Genomic DNA, 18,948 nt, shown 5'->3' with positions numbered 1-18,948 from the left:
ACCTGTAATATCAGCTACTTGGGAGGCTGAGGCAGGAGAATTGGTTGAACCCAGGAGGCAGAGGTTGCAGTGAGCCAAGATCGCCCCACTGCATTCCAGCCTGGGCGACAGAGCGAGACAACATCTTAAAAAAAAAAAAAAGAAGACAATAATTCCTTTCTCAACAGGTTATCCTGAGGAGCGAATGAGAAATAATGGGTCGTGCCCAGCACACAGTAGGTGCTCCTGAGTCTGTGTCTTTCTCCTCCCCACGCCCCAGTGGCCAGGGAGAAAGGAAACAAAGTCAGTATCCATCCCAGCTGTTTATTGAAAGGGAAGGTGGGATGGAAGGGGTGCAGGATGAGGAGGGGGCGTGAGGCACAAGGACAGTAGGGTGTGCCCTGGTGGGGGCCGCCTGAGGATCCCCTAGGAGGCCCTTCAGGCTGGTGGAGACTGAAGGTAAGGGTTAGGGAGGGGAGGGGCGAGAGCCTTGAGCGCTGCTCTCCAGCTGCATCAGAGCTCCCTCTAGTGGTACAGAAGAGAGATGACGCCTCCGGCTGGGGAGGGAGGGGCTGGCGCCTCTGAGAGAGCCCATTTATTATCAGGGTCACGGCCAAGACCGTGGGCTTGGTTTCTAGGTAGGTGGACTTTGAGGGGCAAAGACAACCCACTTTTCCTGCCCCCTACCCCCGGCTCTTAGAGACCATTTAAATCCATATCCAAAGTATATCCAGAGCCACCTGGGACCATCAGGCCTCTGGCTAGTCTTTCTGGGCCAAACCTGTCCTCCACCCTGAGGACCCTCAGGGAACCAGGAAGGTGAGGGGCTGGCTCCGCCCCACCTGTAGCACAAGAGCTGGCCCAGGAGGAGGCTGAAGATGTGTTTCTAGTTCCTGCATGCTGCTTTGTTGTGTGACCTCGGACATGTCACCTCCAGCCTTCTTCACCCACCTCACCTATCAACTAGGGCTAGTAATTGCCTGTGGTGGGTGGGCTGGGGGGCTCTGATGCCAAAATGCAGGTAGAAGACACACTGTGAGAGGCAAACGTCTTCACTCATCCTGCAGGGAAAGGCCAAGTGAGCATCTGGGACCCATTCGAGCTGAATGACCCCCACCCCTTCATCTGTGTCTATGGAGGGCAGTGCGTGTCCTCATCCTGGCGAGAAGAGGAATCTGATCCAAAGCCCTCATGGCAGAGAGGCAGGAGCTGATGGCTTGAAAGGGCAAGGGTTTGCCCAAGGTCATGCAGAGGAAGGAGTGGGGACGGGTTGAAGGAGATGTTTTCTGCCCCTGAGGGCCTTGGGAAGAGGGTGTGGGTAGGAAGTTTTGGGAGGACTTGAGGAATGCTGGTATCTTGGAAGAGTTGGGGCCCCACTCCTGGGGAGGGAGCACTGGGATTTGAGCTCCAGATTTGACCTGGAGTTGGGCTCTAAAGGGACCCTGCTAAAAGGGAGAAGTTGGGGAAACACTGAGAGGGGGTTATGGTGAGAAGGGGGGAAGGATCCAGGACCCACATCTTAGGCCATGTGGGCAGCTCAGGAGTCCCTCTTGGGCTGGATAGTCTGCACAGAAGATTGCCCAAAGGGGCTGGCGGGTGGCGAGAACCATGACTGGCCACTGGCATTGCGGAAAATGGGTGACAACTGCTGCTCTGGCTCATCCCCGAAGACCTCCACGTGGCTGTCGGCTTCGGGGTCCAAGGGCTCTGCCTTGGTGTCCTGGCTCAGCCAGCCTATCATGGCCCAGAAGAGGCAGATGGCGAGCAGAACTCCAGCTGCCACACAGAGCGCTGTGCCTGCCAGGCGACAGGTGCCCAGGGCCTGGTTGTAGTCGGCTGCCCGCTGATCCAACACCAGGAACTCACCCTCACCGATGCCCTCCAGCTTGGGGGGCACTGCATAGCCAGTGGTCAGAGCCGCCACACCCAGCAGCAGAAGCAGGGTCCCCGAGGACAGGCTGATCTAGGGAGAAGCAGACAGACCAGGAAGCAGTCAGGGTCAGCCAGGGGCCCCTGGCCAAGGGATCACCTTGGATCCTCACCAGACTTAAGGGTAACCCCTTGATCCATCCTCAGGAGATGGGAATCACAGAACACACTTGCTGGGGTCTAACTGACAGGAGGCATAAACTGTCATGTTTTATTTGGAATCCTGAGGCCTCTTAATTTCCTTCCCAGCTCCCACCTAGCAGTGGGTTTCTCCGGCCAACCCTGTGTTTCCCTCCATCCCAACTCATCTCTTTATCCTTTCTACCTTCCTGTCTCTGTTGGGTTAACTCCTATGCACCATCAGATCTCATCTCAAACCTCACCTCCTCAGGGAGAAGACCCCTGGACTGAGTCAGGTCTCTTGCTTTACTCTGGGCAAACTGTGCCCATTCATTCTTCAATACACTTACCATTGTGCACACTTGGACATGTATTTTGGTTGCTATGTAAGTGACGTCTGCCTCTCCCGCAGTACTGAGAGCTCCATGAGAGCAGACTGTGCCTGTTTTGGCTCACTAGGAGTCTTCTGTGCCTAGCACGTGCCGGCACAGAGCAAAGGCTGAATAAATGTTTGCTGAATGATTAAATAAACCACAGCTAAAAGAGTTCCTCGAAGACAGGGACCTCATGTCTTAAATTCTGTGTTCCCAAGAGCCTAGCACAGTGCCTCGCAATAAGAAGATGCTTAAAAATTTTAAATACACACTAACCTTTCCTTGGAAGTCTTCCTTGATCATTTCCTCTCCTGGTGTTCCCTACAGACCTGACCTGAAGTTATGTAAGTTGGCCTCTCTGCAGAGGTTGGCACCTTACCTCCTCACTAGAGTGAAGTCCTTTGAAAGCAAAAGAAGGGACCCTCTGCCTCAGTCTCCCGAGAATATTTAGCAAAGAGCTATGCCCATAGCAGGCACTCAGCTCATTGCCACCTCTACACCTTGACCCATTGGTGCACCCTGGCCGACTAGTCTCCTTGGCTGTTAAAGACATCAATTCTTCACATTTTTTCTCTGCCCTGGCAAGGTACTCCAGTCTACCATTGAGAAACCACAGTAAGATTTAAGTGAGATGAACCTCACTTCCTGCCAGTCAGCATAGTCCATCTCTTAACCATAGTAATTAGTTCAAGGCTGGCAAGTGACCCAATGAGAGCCAACACAATGCTTGTCAGGACTTCTGGGAATTAAAAGCATTGTTTCTTATAAATGATTTTTAAATTTCTGAATCTTTTACCTCTCCATATAAACTACAAGTGTGCAAAGTGGTAAGTGTATTGAAGAATGAATGGGCACAGAGTTTGCCCAGAGTAAAGCAAGGGACCCGACTCAGTCCAGGGATCTCCTCCCTGAGGAGGTGACATTTTGACGTCCACAAAATAACGTGCTGGGGTTTTGATTGGCATTGCATTGAATCAAAGATCAGGTTGGGAAGAACTAACATCTTGACTATTCCAATCCACGAATATGAACTATTTCTCCATTTATTTAGTTATTTGATATCTTTTGAGTTTTGTAGTTCTTCTCATATTACAGATATTTTGTTAGATTTACACCTAAGTATTTCTCTCTTCTTTGGTGCTAAGGTAAATGGTAACATGTTTTTAATATCTTACTATTTTGCTTTCTCTCTTCCTTTCTTCTCTCTTTTCTTTTCTTGACAGAGTCTCACTCTGTTGCCCAGGCTGGAGTGCAGTGGCACAATCATGGCTCACTGCAGCTTCAACCTCCTGGGCTCAAACGATCCTCCTGGCTCAGCCTCTTGAGTAGTAGGCATCACAGGCCCGCGCCACTACATCCAGCTAATTTTTTATTTTTAGTAGAGATGAAGTCTCACTATGTTGCCCAGGCTGATCTTGAATTCCTGGGCTCAAGCAATCCTCCTGCTTCAGCCTCTCAAAGTGCTGGGATTACAGGTGTAAGCCAGTACCTGTGGCCATTTTTTGTTTGTTTGTTTTTTTAAGACAGAGTTTCACTCTTGTTGTGCAGGCTGGAGTGCAACGGCACGATCTCTGCTCACTGCAACTGCTGTCTCCCGGGTTCTAGTGATTATCCTGCCTCAGCCTCCAGAGTAGCTGGGATTATAGGCGCCCATCACCACACCCAGCTAATTTTTGTATTTCTAGTAGAGATGAGGTTTCACCACGTTGGCTAAGCTGGTCTCGAACTCCTGACCTCAGGTGATCCACCCACCTTGGCCTCCCAAAATGATGGGATTACAGGCTATTTTCTTTTCTGAAGGAAATACCACAGGAAATGCTGACTTCCCTTAGATGGTGTGGAGTGAAGACCTGAGAGTCCACACAGTAGTGGCCATTTGGGGAACATGTGGGGAGAGTCTGAAGCTAACAGGCTACCAGGGTAGGGGCACCATGAGGAGGCTGAAGACTAAGAAAACTTGCAAAGTCCTTGGTATAAAGGGTTGAACTGCTGGATCAAACTTTGCCTGAAAGTATGCAACCTTGGACCTTGGGTCTCTTCTAAAAAATGAGCAACATTTTCCCTTCTTTTTTCTTTTTTTTTTTTTTTTTTTTTTTTTTTTTTGAGACAGAGTCTTGTTCTGTCGCCCAGCTGGAGTGCAATGGTGCAAACTTGGCTCACTGCAACCTCTGCCTCCTGGGTTCAAGCAATTCTCCTGCCTCAGCCTCCTAAGTAACTGGGATTACAGGCGCCTGCCACCACGCCCGGCTCATTTTTTTTTTTTTTTTTTTTTAGAGGGAGTTTCGCTCTTTCACCCAGGCTGGAGTGCAATGGATTGATCTCAGCTCACTGCAACCTCCACCTTTTGGTTTCAAGTGATTCTCCTGCCTCAGCCTCCCGAGTAGCCGGGATTACAGGCGCCCGCCACCACACCCAGCTAATTTTTGTATTTTTAGTACAGACAGGGTTTCACTATGTTGGCCAGGCTGGTCTCCAACTCCTGACCTCGAGATCCACCAGCCTCAGCCTCCGCCTACCAAAGTGCTGGGATTACAGGCGTGAACTACCGCACCCGGTCCATTTTTGTATTTTTAGTAGAGAAAGGGTTTCGCCATGCTGACAGAGCAGGTGTTGAACTCCAGACCTCAGGTGATCTGCCCACCTCAGCCTCCCAAAGTGCTGGGATTACAGGCATGAGCCACCATTATTTACATACAATAAATATGTAAATAATTATGTAAATAATTTGTATGTAAATACAAATACAATGAAGGCTCCCTTCATTATTTAAACCCATTTGAATTGGGTTTTCTGTTGCTTGACTGTGCAAGACTCCTAACTACTACGCTATCTCTTCTTTTTTCCTCTGAGCCTCAAATTCAGACTCATTTCCTCCATCAAGGCAGAGGAATCATGGGAGGTGCTCATCTGGCCTTACCTTCCAACACAGTGAGGGCCAGGGCCGGCGGGGGCACAGGACCGGAGGTCCCTCAGGGTCGTCGCTGAGAGCAGTGCCTGCACAGTCCTCATAGAAGAGGTGCAGGTAGGAGCGGACCCCATACCACTTGCCATCCTCCACGCTGGGGCCGCGGCTGCAGCTGCAGGAACGATTGCAGCTCGGCATCATGGACCCCTGGGGAGCAGGTAAGGTGCAGCTGACGGAGGGAGGGATTAGTGGGAGCTGCTCATGGTGACCTTCATAAGCCCCCTAAATCTTTGTGCCCCACCCGCTTCTCCTCCCACTCGAGACACCCTACACGCATAGCACAGTCTGGCCTTTTGGAATCCCAGCCTGTCCTTCCCAAAGCACACTGCGAATGAGCCAATGCACTGAAGGCCTTAGCCCAGTGCCTGGCAATTGGAGGTGTCAATAAATGTGCATGTTTACTCTGGAGGCCACCCAGTACCTGGGACTGTGGGCTCTGGAGCCTGACCACTTGGACTGGAGTCGTGGACACACTGCTTCCTGGAGGCGTGACCTTAGACAAGTGCTTCCACCTTTCTGGGTCTCAGTTTCCTCATCTGTAAAACAGACCTAATAATCATACTTCTTTCATACAGTTACTGTGTCTAATGCTGAGAAATGGTAGCTGTTGTGATTAGTACTGTAATTTTTTTGCTATTACTTCCATCTTGAACTTTTTAGTCTCCATATCTGGAATGAGAGAGCCTCACCCTCCGCTCCCCTTCAGACCCCCTCCTGGGGGTAATTGTCATGGCTGACACTTGGGCTGGAGTTCCCAAGCTGCAAGGCTATAAAAAGGTCCTCCCCAGGACTGCCCCTGAAAGCCTCCAGATTCCAATGAATTTTGACTCCATTGGAAGTGAAAGTCAGGGTCCCTCAGGATTAAAGACTCTTAGGCTTAAGGGCTGTTAGATTTCCAGAGAAACCTATCAAATAACCTTTTTTTTTTTTTCCACAAAAGTGGACACGGATCTTGGGAATGGAAGGTACTTGTATATCCATATACAGGTTTGGCCCGAACCAAAGCCAGGAGGTGTTGGGGGAGGACTGGGCTTCTACCCCAGTCTCCATGATGGCCCTCAGCCTTAATTAGCAGCCTCCTGCAAAATGAAACAATGTGCTTGTTCCAAAGGGTAAGATAAAGGTCCTGACAGCTGCCCCTCACTTCCAATCAGATGTGGTCCTCAAATCCCTGCATAGAGAAACTCACCGAAACAGCACAGAGAAACACACAGACATACTCACAAAGCATACAGAGACATACCCAGATAGGTACGACACACACACACACACACACACACACACACACACACACACACACGGTTGGAGGTTCTGCTTGGAGTCACACGGCACACAAGATTGCTGTCAAGAAAGCCTGTCCATAAATAGTGGCTGTACACCCTCCTCACTTACAATTCAGGGAAAAGAAGAGCGGGGAAGGAAAGGAGGAAAAACAACAACAACAAAAGCCACGACAGAGAACGGGAAAAGGCAGAGACTGAAAGCGAAGGACCGTCGGAGGAGGAGGGCGAGAGGTCTGGAGAGGAGGGCTCGCCGGAGGAGGCGGGCGGGGCGGGCTGTGCGGAGGGTGCGGCCAGCGCGGTACCCGCCCCGGCGAGGCGCTGGGGAGGCCCGGGTGGGGAGAAGAAATGGGGCCTGGGGGACGGTAGGAGCCTCCGTGCGGAGACCACTGTTCAAGGCCACAGGTGAGGAGGTGTGGAGGGGGCTTCGGGGCTGTTGACCTGGGTCAGCTCCTCCCCTCCAATTCACCGCTTCCGCGACTCCAAATAGATGGAATCACTCAGTCCTGCTGCTACTGGAGAGGGAAGGTGACCTTGACGCTGCCTCCCGCTCGGCCTGGCCCCTCCGCCTGGCGTTTCAGGGCTGCACGGAGTAGGTCTGGCGGGCGGGGGGCGGGGCGCAGGCACCCGGGACGAGGGTTGCCATGGGAACCGCTAGGGAGGCGTCCCCAGCCCGGGAGCCGGGAGGAGCTCGGTGGGAGGGGAGCGGGAGGCGGAGGGGGCTGCGCTGTCCGACGTGGGGAGACTGCGGCGGAGGGAGGAGGCGAGGGGCGGCAGGCACGGGCGGAAGTGACGGAAGCCAGGGCCCGAAGATGGACGGAATCTGTCGCCTCTGCACAGCCTCATTCAGTTGTGTCCTTCCCAGACCCTCAGACTCGCCCACTACAGCGTCCAGCGCTGCCCGGGCGGGGGAGAAGGGGCGCCCTCCCGGGGGGGATGGGTAGGGGGTGTCGGCCGGGGAAATCAGGCCATTTCCCGCCTCCCTTCCCCACCGGCACCCGCGCCACTCTTCCTGACAGGACCACCGATGCCCTGCTCCACACCAACTGCGTCCTTTTCCCTAGAGAGAAACTGAGGCAGAGAGGGGTAGGAATGGGTTTTTGAAGTGTTGGCGGGGGTGGGGGTGTCCTTTGAAGCCTCTACCCAGCCTATCAACCCTGAGGCGTCGAGGGGCGATGGGGCTGTTTCTGTCTCCCGCCCCTGCTGCTTCCCTGGGACCCCCACCTCCCAAAGCCGAGGCTCAGGCGCAAAGGTCCCGGCCCTGGCGGGACACGGCCCGGGCTGAGGATGCGGGCAGAGCGCGGGGGTTCTCCAGGGGCTGGGGCTGGGGCCTGGCCGCGCGTGGGGCAGGGCTAAGCTCACCTCTCTGCCTGCTGTCTCCGCCGAGCAAAGGCGGGTCCGGTTCGCGCCTGCGCCGCAGTTCGGGGCGGGGGAGGGGGCGCCGGCCCGCCTCAGGGCCTGGCTCTGCAGACGGCGGCCGCCTGCAGCTCCCCCGGCTCCTGTCCCCTTCCAGAGTTCCCTGCTCGCTCGGACACCCCAGCGCCCTCACAGAGACCCCTCGGACTCCCTGGGCCCCAGCCCCTCACGCAGCCCCTCAGACTCCTCACCGAAGCTGCCGTCACTCCCGCAGTTCCCCACCCCTCCCGTGGAAGACCCATCCCTTAACCGAGCCTTCCTCTCCTCGCTGCACCGTCAGTCCCTTTTCCAGGTCTCCATCCCCCTCATGGAGCCCCACCCCAGCGTAGAAACCGCTTCTCCTCGCCGGGCCCCCGCCCTCTTCACAGGCTCCCATCTGTCTCCGGGCTCCTACCGGGAAGTCCCCTCCCACTTGCCTTGAGAGCCGCTAATCCCTCTGGAGTCCTCACATCTCACTCAGTCCCCATCCTCTTTTCATCCTCTTTTCCTCTTTGAGTCCCTACCCATCCCTGGTACGGGATCAGCCCTTGTACCTTGAGAAGGGAGTTTGGGTGGAGGACTCGGGGTTGGGAGAGAAGTGACCTCCACTTTGGAAGGAGCTAATGACAGCCTCCCTTGTTGTTTCCTCCCCTAGCCCCAGTTCTGCCCTGGGCAATGCGTGCCCACTGCCCATCTCCCTGGAGAGCCAGCCTGTGCCAGGCAGCTGCATCTGCCTCCCACCCTGTCATGAGCTGTCAGCCTTGATTTTGTCCCACATTTGCTGTGTGATCTTGGGAAAGTCATTGTGCCCCTCCAACCGTCATCAAGCACCCTTGCACAGACATGCCTTTGTGTCTTGAGCATCTATTCTGTTTCTCCTTGTGCTAGGGGCTGGGGACACACAGAAGAATGAGCTCGGCAAGATAGGGCCACATCTTCCTTTTTAGTTTTTCTTTTTCTTTTTTTTTAATTTTTATTTTTTTGAGACAGCGTCTCACTCTGTTGTCCAGGCTGGAGTGCGGTGGCATGATCACGGCTCACTGCAGCCTCGATCTCCCAAGGCTCAGGTGATCCTCCCACCTCAGTCGCCTGAGGAGCTGGGACTACAGGCACGCACTACCATGCCTAGCTAATTTTTTGTATTTTTAATAGAGACAGGGTTTTGCCATGATGCCCAGGCTGGTCTTGAACTCCTGAGCTCAAGTGATCCACCTGCCTCGGCCTCCCAAAGTGCTGGGATTGTAAGCGTGAGCCACCGCGTCTGGCCAAGGCCACATATTTCTTGTTCGTGTTGTATCTGTGAGCCTCCCATAGTGCTTGGCACTGAGTAGGCAGCCCAGTAAATATTTACTGAAGACAGTCTAATAATAGTAGCAAACTTATTATGCTCACTATGTGCAAAGTGTTTAAGCGTTTTGTATGTTCTATTTACTTACTCATTTAAGTGTGTGTGTGTGTGTGTATGTGTGTGTGTGTGATGGGAGGAACTCTTGCAGCTCAAAACTAAAGGCCCCAAATGGTGACAGGAGATGGCATTGGAGAGGCAGGCAGAAGTGAGACCTTGTGGGGCCTCATAAGCCAAGGTAAGGAGTTTGAGCTTCAGCCCAAGGGTAGTGGGGAGCCATGGAAGGGTTATGAAGAGGGGTGGGATGTGATCTGATTTTCATTCTGAAAAGACCTCTGGCTGCTGTCAAGAGAACAGCATGTTGAGCACAAGAGTGACAGCAAGAGATCAGCAAAGAGATCAGAGATGACAGTGTCTTGGCCTGGTGCAGAGAAATGAAGACATTCAAGAGATGTTAGCCTGTAAAATGAACTACAGGAATAGCTACAGATTGGAAACAACCTGTGGTGGTTTTAAAATATAGCTACAAATTCTTTAGCACTCCTCTGTAGAGAGGTGGGATCCTTGTACCCTCTCTGAATCTTGGGTGAGCTGATGACTGCTTCAACCAATGGAGTACGGTGGAAGTAACACTCTGACTTCTAAGGTCCAGACATAAAAGTACAGGCAACTTCTGCTAGAACTCTAGCTCTTGGAGCCTGAGGCACCATGCCTACCTAGGGCTCCATGTCTGCTTAGAGGCTGCCATGCTGTCAGGATGCCAAGACCATCAGGAGAGGACACATGAAGGCACCACAGTCCCAGCTAAGCTTAGCTTTGAGTCATCCCAGTTCAAGCATAAAAGAAGTGAGTGAAGAAGAACCAGATGAGGCCAGGCACGGTGGCTCACACCTGTAATCCCAGCACTTTGGGAGGCCAAGGCGGGTGGATACCCTGAGTTCAGGAGTTCGAGACCAGCCTGGCCACATGGCAAAACCCCGTCTCTACTAAAAATACAAAAATAGCCGGGCATGGTGGCGTGCACCTGTAATCCCAGCTACTAGGGAGGATGAGGCAGGAGAATTGCTTGAACCCGGGAGGCAGAGGTTGCAGTGAGCCGACATCATGCCATTGCACTGTAGAAGGCGAAGGGGAAGGGGAAGAACAAGATGATTCCAGTGGCCAGCCATTTGAATCAGCTTCAGCCTTCAAATCTTCAAATCTTCCTAGCTGAAGACTCAAACATTGCAGAGTAGAAACAAGCTGGCCTCACTGTGTCCTGCCTGAATTCCTGACACACAGAACCCACAAGCATATTCAAGTGGTTATTGTGTTATACCACTAGGTTTGGGGGGTTTTGTTCTGTGCTAACAGATAACTGGGACACCACTTAAATATCCATCAATGGAAGACGAGTTATGTACATTATATGTCTTTGTGGAATACTATGCATCCATTAGAAAGAAGAAATTAGTCTATAATTATTTATATTAATCACACTTCAAGTGAAGAAGGATGCAGTGTTCTGAAAAGTCTTGATAGTATGCCTCCATTTGAAATTCTCAAAAAGATGGCACATATAGAGAACTTCTGGGAAAATAGACAAGAAAGAGGTAACAGTAGATGCCTTGGGGGAGGGTAACTGATGGCAAGGGTGGGAATGAAATTCACTTTTTTTTTTTTTTTTTGAGATGGAGTCTCGCTCTGTCACCAGGCTGGAGGGCAGTGGTGCGATCTCAGCTCACTGCAACCTCCGCCTCCCGGGTTCAAGCGATTCTCCTGCCTCAGCCTCCCCAGTAGCTGGGACTACAAGCACATGCCACCATGCCCAGCTAATTTTTTTTTGTATTTTTAGTACAGATGAGGTTTCACCATGTTGGCCAGGATGGTCTCTATCTCCTGACCTCATGATCTGCCTGCCTCGGCCTCCCAAAGTGCTGGGATTACAGGCATGAGCCACTGTGCCCGGCCGAAATTCACTTTTTACTATACACCTCTATGTTAGTTATCTATTGATTTTGTAAAAATTTAGGTGAGAAATGATGAAGAATTGGAGTGGGCAGGAAAAATGGAAAGGAGGGTGCAGGTGTGAAAAATGTCCATAAAGTTAAGTTGGCAGAACTTGGTTACTAAGAAGTAAGGGAAGTGACAGGGATTGAGAGAGAGAGAGAGAGACAGAGAGAGGGAGAGAGACAGAGAGGATAGAGGCTGACTTTTATGTTTATAGGTCAGGTGGGTGATGCTCCCATTAACAGAGATGTAAAATAGATGAGGGAAAGCCAGGTTGTGGAGAAGTTGATGCCCTTTGCTTTTGGCAGAGTTGAATGGCACTGTACAGGACATTCTGGCCTAGAGTCAGGGGCAAGGTCTTGGCCTTAGATACAACATAGGGAATTGTTCTCACTGGAAATGGCAGTTTTAAACTTGAACTGGCTTTAAACAAAGGGAATATAAAGGCTCACATAATTGAGAAGTCAAGGGATACTGGCTTCAGGCATGGCTGTATCCAGATGCTCAGGATCTTTCTCTTTATCTCTTGGCTCTTCCCTCATCTGTGTTGGCTTCAATGTCAGGCAGATTTTCCCTATATGGTAGCAAAATGGCCACAGACTTCAAATTTAACTGCTGGGAAAAGAATCTGTTTCTCCTTATAGTCTCAGGAAAAGCCCTGATGTTGATTCCCCTCACCCCAGTTAGATAATATGTCATTTACTGAACCCACTGGAGTGTCTCTGATTGGCTGGTTACTTGCTCACCCTTTGGGTGGCTGGCAGTGCTTAACCCAGAGAAACCTCTTGGACTGAGAACCTGCTTGAAGAGCTTCCCTAAAGGGAAATTGAAATACTGTTACTGTAAGAAAGGGCAGTGGGGCCAGGCCCAGTGGCTCATGCCTGTAATCCCAGCACTTTGGGAGGCTGAGGCAGGTGGATCACAAGGTCAGGAGTTTGAGACCAGCCTGACCAACATGGTGAAACCCTGTCTCTACTAAAAATACAAAAATCAGCCGGGTGTGGTGGCATGCACCTGTAGTCCCAGCTACTCCGGAGGCTGAGGCAGGAGAATCACTTGAAGCTGGGAGGCGGAGGTTGCAGTGAGCCAAGATCGTGCCACTGCACCGTAGCCTGGGTGATAAGAGTGAGACTCTGTCTCAAAAAAAAAAAAAAAAAAAAAAAAAAAAAAAAAGGGCAGTGGATGTAGAGCTGGCAAAAACAATGACATTGAGATGAAGCGTGCTCAGGTCAGAGCTCTAACGAAGCCCTCTGCTGCAGACTGAATGTTTGTATCTCCCTCATATTCATATGTTGAAGTCCTAAGGTGATGTTATTTGGAAGTGGGCCTTTGGGAGGGATTACAGCCTGATAAGAGGAGACTTGAGAGCTTGCTTCTTCTCTGTGCCATTTGGGGCTACAATAGGATGGTCGTCTGTACACCAGAAGTCAGGCCCTTGGTTGCCAGCAGAATGGAATTTGCCAGCACCTTGATCTTAGACTCTTCACCCTGCAGACCTGAGGAATAAATGTGTGTTGTCAAGCCACCTGCTCCATGCTAAATTGTTATAGTAGCCCAAGCAGATTAAGATGCCTCTGTTTGGCTGTCTATGGCTGCATAACAGACCACTCCAAATCCAATGATTTTTATCATCTTTCACAATTTCTGTGGGTCAGGAATTTGGGAAGGGCTCATCTGGGTGGTTCTGCCTTGGTGTCTCTTTTGTGGTTACAGTGGAAGCCGGAGCACTGGGGAGCTGGAGCAGCTGGGAGCTGGCCAAGCATCTCTCTTCATATAGCCTCAAGGCCTCTCCATGTTGTCTCTCTGCATGAGCCAGTTGGGCTTCCTCACAGCATGGCAGCTGAGAGTGTTGACACCTCTTACACTGTAGCTCAGGACTCCCATGAGTCAGGCCACATTGCCTTTATGACCCAGCCTCACAAGTCACCATAGAATCATTTCTACTGTAGTCTGAGTCACTAAGTTTGGCTCAGATTCAAGGGGAAGAAACAGACTCTGTTACTCAGTGGGAGGAGTCTTAAAGAATTTATAGACATGGTTGGGCACGATGGCTGAAGTCTGTAATCCTAGCACTTTGGGAGGCCAAGATGGGAGGATCGCTTGAGCCCAGGAGCTCGAGACCAGCTTGGTCAACACAGGGAGCCCCTATCTCTCCAAAAAACTTAAAAGTTAAAAAAAATTAGCTGAGCATGGTGGCACGCACCTGATCGCACCACTGTATCCAGCTCGGGCAACAAAGTGAGACTCTATCTCAAAAAAAAAAAAAAAAATTATGGACATGTTTTAAAACCACCATACTACATTTGAAGAGGTCAGAGGAGGAGAAAGAACCACAGAAGCATCTAGAGAGATAGCGGGTGGTGGTGGGTGGGGGCAAGAATCTGGGATGTGTGTATGTGTGTTTTGGAGTGGGGGTGCATTGTGTCATAGAAACCAAAGAAACACATTTCCAAGAAGGACCTGCTCAGCCTTGCCAAGTGCATAAGAGACACACAGCGGGACAACAGGACTTAGGTTTGGCAACAAGGAGGTCAGTGGGAACCTTGGCCAGGAGAATTTAGGGTGTGATGTGGAAGGCAAGAAAGTGAGGAGGCAGGGGCCCTTTGTGGAGTGGTTTGGAGAAGGGGTGTGTATGTATGTGCACCTGTGTGTGTGTGTGTGTGAAGTGCAAAAAGCCCCACACCATGGACAGAAGGGGAGGGGGCCCCTGATATCAGAGCAGGGGTGGATGAAATCCTGGGGCAGTGGGAAGAGATGAAGTCAAATATACAGGGGGATGGGCTGGCCTTGACTAGCAAAGGAGGGATCCTGTATCCTCTGAGAGCCTGGGGAGGAGGGGAGGGGGCCACCAAGAAGAGCCACAATGTAGTGTCTGTAAGTTGAACTCTGGAGTCCAGCAGATCTGCGTTTGAATCTTAGCTCCACTACTTACTGCTTACATGATTTAAACACTCTGTGCCTCAGTTTCCCTGACTGTAAAATGAAGATAATTTAAGTACTTGCCTCTCAGAGGGGTTGAAAGAGTGAAATGAGATGTGCATATAAGACACTTATCCAAAGTACCTGGAACAAAATTAGAACTCAGCAAATTATGGTTATTGTTACTGTTATTGTTATATTAGTTTATAGGTGAGTAGGGTGGGAAGGTGAGAGACACGACACCTGATAAACTGTCTACTTTTGAGAAAAACAAGATGGATTATCTATTAAGAAATAGGAAAATTTGTCCAGGCATGGTGGCTCACACCTGTGATCCCAGCACTTTGGGAGGCTGAGGTGGGTGGATCACTTGAGGTCAGGAGTTTGAGACCAGCCTGGCCAACGTGGTGAAACTCTGTCTCTACTAAAAATACAAAAATTATCTGGACATGGTGGTACATGCCTGTAGTCCCAGCTACTCTTGAGGCTGAGGCAGGAGAATCACTTGAAGTAGAGGTTGCAGTGAGCCAAGATCATGCCACTGCACTCCAGCCTGGGTGACAGAGAGAGACTCTGAGAAGAAAAGAAAGAAAGAAAAAGAAAAGAAAAGAAAAGAAAGAGAAAGAAAGAAAGAAAGAAAAGAAAGAAAGAAAGAAAGAAAATATGGTGAAACCCCAGCTCTACTGAAAAAAAAAAAAAAAAAAAATTAGCCGGGAGTGGCAGCATGCTGCCTGTAGTCCCAGCTACTCGCTTGGGAGGCTGAGGCAGGAGAATTGCTTGAACCCAGGAGGCGGAGGTTGCAGTAATACAAGATTGTGCCACTCCAGCCTGGCGACAGAGTGAGACTCCGTCTCAAAAAAAAAAAAAAAAGTGACAAAGATGGGTATCATTTATAGAGCATTTACTATATGCTGGGATAATTAATCTTCCCAATGACCTTATGAACTTTCTTTTTTATCAATTAAAGTACTTCAAGGCTAGAATCAACTAAAGTATGAGATTGGATTTTTAAAAGGCTTTGAGTGAAAAATGTCCTGTAAAAACTCTCAGAGCCAAGATCACTTTAGAGGTGCAACTCTGCCACCTGTTATTCTTGCTAATTGCCATTACATTGAGAGTGACAGCTTTAGGATAGAAAGCAAAGGGAAAAAGCAGACTTGAGGACAATATATTGAAAAGTATTGTGGGTATGGTTTTAGTACCATTAACTACAGTCAAATCGATAAGAAACCTAAGATTTTTTTTGAGATGGAGTTTCACTCTTGTTGCCCAGGCTAGAGTGCAATGGCACAATCTTGGCTCACTGCAACCTCCACCTCCTGGGTTCAAGTGATTCTCCTGCTTCCGCCTCCCAAGTAGCTGGGATTACAGGCATATGCTACCATGCCTGGCTAATTTTTTGTATTTGGTAGAGATGGGGTTTCACCCTGTTGGTCAGGCTGGTGTCGAACTTCTAACCTTAGGTGATCCGTCCGCCTCGGCCTCCCAAAGTGCTGGGATTACAGGCGTGAGCCACTGCCCCCTGCCAGAAACCTAAGTTTTTCAGAGAATTATACTGACAAAGAAATCACAAGCCTGGGCTAAAAAGCCTATGAAGCTGGGTGCCTATAATCCTAGCACTTTGGGAGGCTGGAGGCAGGTGGATTGCTTGAGCCCAGGAATTCAAGACTAGCCTGGTCAACATGGCAAAACCCTGTCTCTACAAAATACACAAAAATTAGCTGGATGTGGTGGTGTGTGCCTGTAGTCCCAGCTCCTTGGGAGCCTGAGGTGGGAGGTTCACCTGAGCCCAAGGAGGTTGAGGCTGCGGTCAACTATGATTGCACCACTGCACTCCAGCCTGGGCAACAACAACAAAAAAGCCTGTGACTGTTTGGGTCTCAAAATGATCCTAGTCACTTCATACCCATTAGGATGACTACCATAAAACAAAACAGAATAACAAGTTTTGGCAAGGATAGGGGGAAACTGGAACCCTGTGAATTGTTGATAACAATGAAAAATGGTGCAGATGCTATGGAAAACACATAGTGATTCCTTGAAAAAGTAAAAATAGAATTACCACATGATCTGGCAATTTTACTTCTAGTTATATACCCCAAAGAACTGAAGCCAGGGGTGGTGGCTCACTCCTGTAATCCCAGCACTTTGGGAGGCAAAGGCAGGCGGATCACCTGAGATCAGGAATTTGAGAGCAGCCTGACAAACATGGCAAAGCCTCATCCCTACTAAACACACACAGACACACACACACACACACACACACACACACACACACATCAGGTGCGGTGGTGTGAGCCTGTAATCCCAGCTACTCGGGAGGCTGAGGCAGGAGAATTGCTTGGACCCAGGAAGTGGAGGTTGCAGTGAGCGGAGATTGTGCCACTGCACTCCAGCCTGGGCAATAGAGTGAGACTGTCTCAGAGAGAAAAAAAAAAGAACTGAAAGCAGTGTATCTTGAAGAGAAATTTCCAAACCCATTTTCATAGCAACATTATTCTCAATAGCTAAAAGGTGGAAGCAACCCAAGTGTCTATCAACAGATGAATGGATAAGCAAGATGTGATATACACATGCAATAGAATATTACTCAGCTTTAAAAAGAAGGAAATTCTGATACATGCTGCAATGGATAAACCTTGAGGACATGATGTGAAGTGAAATAGACCAGTCACGAAAAGTAAACACTGTATGATTCTGCTTATATGAGACATATACCATAGTCAAATTCATACATATAGAAAGCAGAATGGTGGTTGCTAAGAGCTAGGGGGAGGGGGAAATGGAGAGTTAGTGCATAGTGGATCCAGAACTTCAGTTTTGCACGATGAAGAGTTCTCAAGATGGATGATGGTGATGGTTGCACAACAATGTGACTATACTTAATATCCAGTGAGTTGTACACCTAAAGATGGTTAAGATGGTAAATGTTATGCTATCTGTATTTTACTACTCTCTCTCTCTCTCTCTATCTATATATATATAGATAGAGAGAGAGAGAGAGAGAGAGACAGAGTTTCGCTCCTGTTGCCCAGGGTGGAGTGCAATGGTGTGATCTCAGCTCACTGCAACCTCTGTCTCCTGGGTTCAAGTGATTCTCCTGCCTCAGCCTCCCGAGTAGCTGGGATTACAGGCACACACCACCACGCCTGGCTAATTTTGTATTTTTAGTAGAGATGGGGTTTCTCCATGTTGGTCAGGCTGGTCTCGATCTCCCGACCTCAAGTGATCCACCCACCTCAGCCTCCCAAAGTGCTGGGATTACAGGCGTGAGCCACCACGCCCGGCCCTCAAAATATTTTTTAATGATCCTAGGGTCCCTGACAGTTTACAGGCAGTGAGTGAGCTGAAAAAGCGGCGTACCTCCCAAGGTACTTTTGGGCCTTCTTGCTTCCAGTGGATTCCTTGCTCTTTCCTGCTTTGCAGAGCTGACCCCTGGAAGCTACTCAGCCTCCTTTGTCAGCTGGCCTCTAGCTGAGGTCACCCAAGGTGAGGCACCCACAGGAAGTTGGAGGGAGAAAGGGGGAAGCCAGGCTTTTTCTTCCCAACCATCTCTGACTTCCCTAGCCCATCTTGACTGATACAACCTCCTCATCTAAAATAGTAGCCCTTCCTTACACTTTGTCCCCTTCACTGCATGATATCATTATGTGCACTTATCTGTTTATTCATTATACGTTTCCATCTACTAGAGTATAAGCTCTGTGAGGGAAGGGACTATGTCTGCTTTATTCACTGACGAATCCCCAGTCCTTAAGACAGTGCCTGGAACATAGTAGGTGCTCAGTGACGGTTTATTGCAAAAGTGAATAAATTTGGTAGTCAAACCAAACGCATACAAGAGAAGAGGGAAGTGCTCATTTCAGCACACATATACTAAAATCAGAACAATACAGAGGGCTGGGCACAGTGGCTCATGCCTGTAATCCCAGCACTTTGGGAGGCTGATGCTGGCGGATCACTTGAGGTCAGGAGTCTGAGACCAGCCTGGGTAACACGGTGAAAACCCGTCTCTACCAAATAATACAAAAAATTAGCCCGGTGTGGTGGTGTTCACCTATAATCCCAGCTTACTTTGGTGGCTGAGGCAGAAAAATCGTTTGAACTTGGGAGGTGGATGTTGCAGTGAGCTGAGATTGTGCCACTGTACTCCAGCCTAAGTGACAGAGTGAGACTCCATCTCAAAAAATAGAAAAGAACAGGCTGGGCACAGTGGCTCATGCTTGTAATCCCAAAGTTTGGGAGTTCGAGATCAGCCTGGCTAACATAGTGAAACCCTGTGTCTACTAAAAATACAAAATTAGCTGGGCATGGTGGCGTGCACCTGTAATCCCAGCTACTTGGGAGGCTGAGGCAGGAGAACTGCTTGTACCAGGGAGGCGGAGGTTGCAGTGAGCCGGGATCGCCCCACTGCACTCCAGCCTGGGCGACAGAGTGAGACTAGGTCTCAAAAAACAAAAGAAGAAGAAGAAGAAGAAAGAAGGAAGGAGAAGGAGGAGGAGGAGGAGGAGGAGGAGGAGGAGAAGAAGAAGAAGAAGAAGAGGAAGAGGAAGAAGAAGAAAAGAAAGAAGAAGAAGAAGAAAGAAGAAGAGAAGAAGAAGAAGAAGAAGAAGAAGAAGAAGAAGAAGAAGAAGAAGAAGAAGAAGAAGAAGA

General features: G+C 49.8%; 2 protein-coding genes across 10 annotated transcripts, besides 8 other annotated features; one reads left to right on the top strand and one right to left on the bottom strand.

The window, feature by feature from the left end:
• Nucleotides 1-289: 289 nt before the first annotated feature.
• On the bottom strand, nucleotides 290-8,041 carry NRSN2 (neurensin 2). 9 transcript variants are annotated; one of them, NM_001323679.2, is made up of 6 exons: nucleotides 8,010-8,041; nucleotides 7,646-7,718; nucleotides 5,789-5,903; nucleotides 5,320-5,514; nucleotides 1,846-1,942; nucleotides 290-1,713 (listed from the first exon to the last, which is right to left on the bottom strand). In NM_001323679.2, the coding sequence occupies exons 4-6, from the start codon at nucleotides 5,506-5,508 to the stop codon at nucleotides 1,517-1,519; spliced, it is 483 nt and encodes a 160-aa protein (NP_001310608.1). In that variant the 5' UTR covers nucleotides 5,509-5,514; nucleotides 5,789-5,903; nucleotides 7,646-7,718; nucleotides 8,010-8,041; the 3' UTR covers nucleotides 290-1,516. The 9 variants fall into 9 exon arrangements, 8 of the variants coding, with proteins under 8 accessions (NP_001310608.1, NP_001310613.1, NP_001310611.1 ...); NM_001323684.2 differs by having other exon boundaries at nucleotides 290-1,942; nucleotides 5,320-5,536; nucleotides 7,640-7,718; NM_001323682.2 differs by having other exon boundaries at nucleotides 290-1,942; nucleotides 7,640-7,718.
• Nucleotides 5,613-5,907: a silencer, noted in NCBI's record as "tiled region #10349; K562 Repressive non-DNase unmatched - State 14:Gen5'". NCBI's record gives its function as "represses a minimal TATA promoter and a strong SV40 promoter by Sharpr-MPRA in K562 cells {active_cell/tissue: K562}" and the evidence as "EXISTENCE:reporter gene assay evidence [ECO:0000049][PMID:27701403]".
• On the top strand, nucleotides 6,462-8,886 carry LOC101929937 (serine/arginine repetitive matrix protein 2-like). The gene is made up of 4 exons (XM_047440635.1): nucleotides 6,462-6,479; nucleotides 6,767-7,052; nucleotides 7,138-7,733; nucleotides 8,161-8,886. Exons 1-4 carry the CDS (start codon nucleotides 6,462-6,464, stop codon nucleotides 8,482-8,484), a joined length of 1,224 nt encoding a protein of 407 aa, XP_047296591.1. The 3' UTR covers nucleotides 8,485-8,886.
• Nucleotides 6,934-7,023: a silencer, noted in NCBI's record as "silent region_12571". NCBI's record gives its function as "represses an Ori minimal core promoter by ATAC-STARR-seq in GM12878 lymphoblastoid cells {active_cell/tissue: GM12878}" and the evidence as "EXISTENCE:reporter gene assay evidence [ECO:0000049][PMID:35858748]".
• Nucleotides 6,934-7,742: a biological region, named in NCBI's record as "H3K27ac hESC enhancer GRCh37_chr20:328054-328816".
• Nucleotides 6,980-7,742: an enhancer, noted in NCBI's record as "H3K27ac hESC enhancer chr20:328054-328816 (GRCh37/hg19 assembly coordinates)". NCBI's record gives its function as "activates a minimal SCP1, AML or CMV promoter by ChIP-STARR-seq in primed H9 embryonic stem cells {active_cell/tissue: H9 hESC(primed)}" and the evidence as "EXISTENCE:reporter gene assay evidence [ECO:0000049][PMID:30033119]".
• Nucleotides 7,204-7,733: a silencer, noted in NCBI's record as "silent region_12570". NCBI's record gives its function as "represses an Ori minimal core promoter by ATAC-STARR-seq in GM12878 lymphoblastoid cells {active_cell/tissue: GM12878}" and the evidence as "EXISTENCE:reporter gene assay evidence [ECO:0000049][PMID:35858748]".
• Nucleotides 7,743-8,505: an enhancer, noted in NCBI's record as "H3K27ac-H3K4me1 hESC enhancer chr20:327291-328053 (GRCh37/hg19 assembly coordinates)". NCBI's record gives its function as "activates a minimal SCP1, AML or CMV promoter by ChIP-STARR-seq in primed H9 embryonic stem cells {active_cell/tissue: H9 hESC(primed)}" and the evidence as "EXISTENCE:reporter gene assay evidence [ECO:0000049][PMID:30033119]".
• Nucleotides 7,754-8,173: a silencer, noted in NCBI's record as "silent region_12569". NCBI's record gives its function as "represses an Ori minimal core promoter by ATAC-STARR-seq in GM12878 lymphoblastoid cells {active_cell/tissue: GM12878}" and the evidence as "EXISTENCE:reporter gene assay evidence [ECO:0000049][PMID:35858748]".
• Nucleotides 8,506-9,269: an enhancer, noted in NCBI's record as "H3K4me1 hESC enhancer chr20:326527-327290 (GRCh37/hg19 assembly coordinates)". NCBI's record gives its function as "activates a minimal SCP1, AML or CMV promoter by ChIP-STARR-seq in naive and primed H9 embryonic stem cells {active_cell/tissue: H9 hESC(naive and primed)}" and the evidence as "EXISTENCE:reporter gene assay evidence [ECO:0000049][PMID:30033119]".

The sequence above is a fragment of the Homo sapiens genome, chromosome 20 (genome assembly GCF_000001405.40).
Source record: "Homo sapiens chromosome 20, GRCh38.p14 Primary Assembly".
Lineage (NCBI taxonomy): Eukaryota > Metazoa > Chordata > Mammalia > Primates > Hominidae > Homo > Homo sapiens.
Note: the sequence above shows the minus strand (reverse complement) of the source record. Positions and strands in the feature narration are given on the sequence as shown.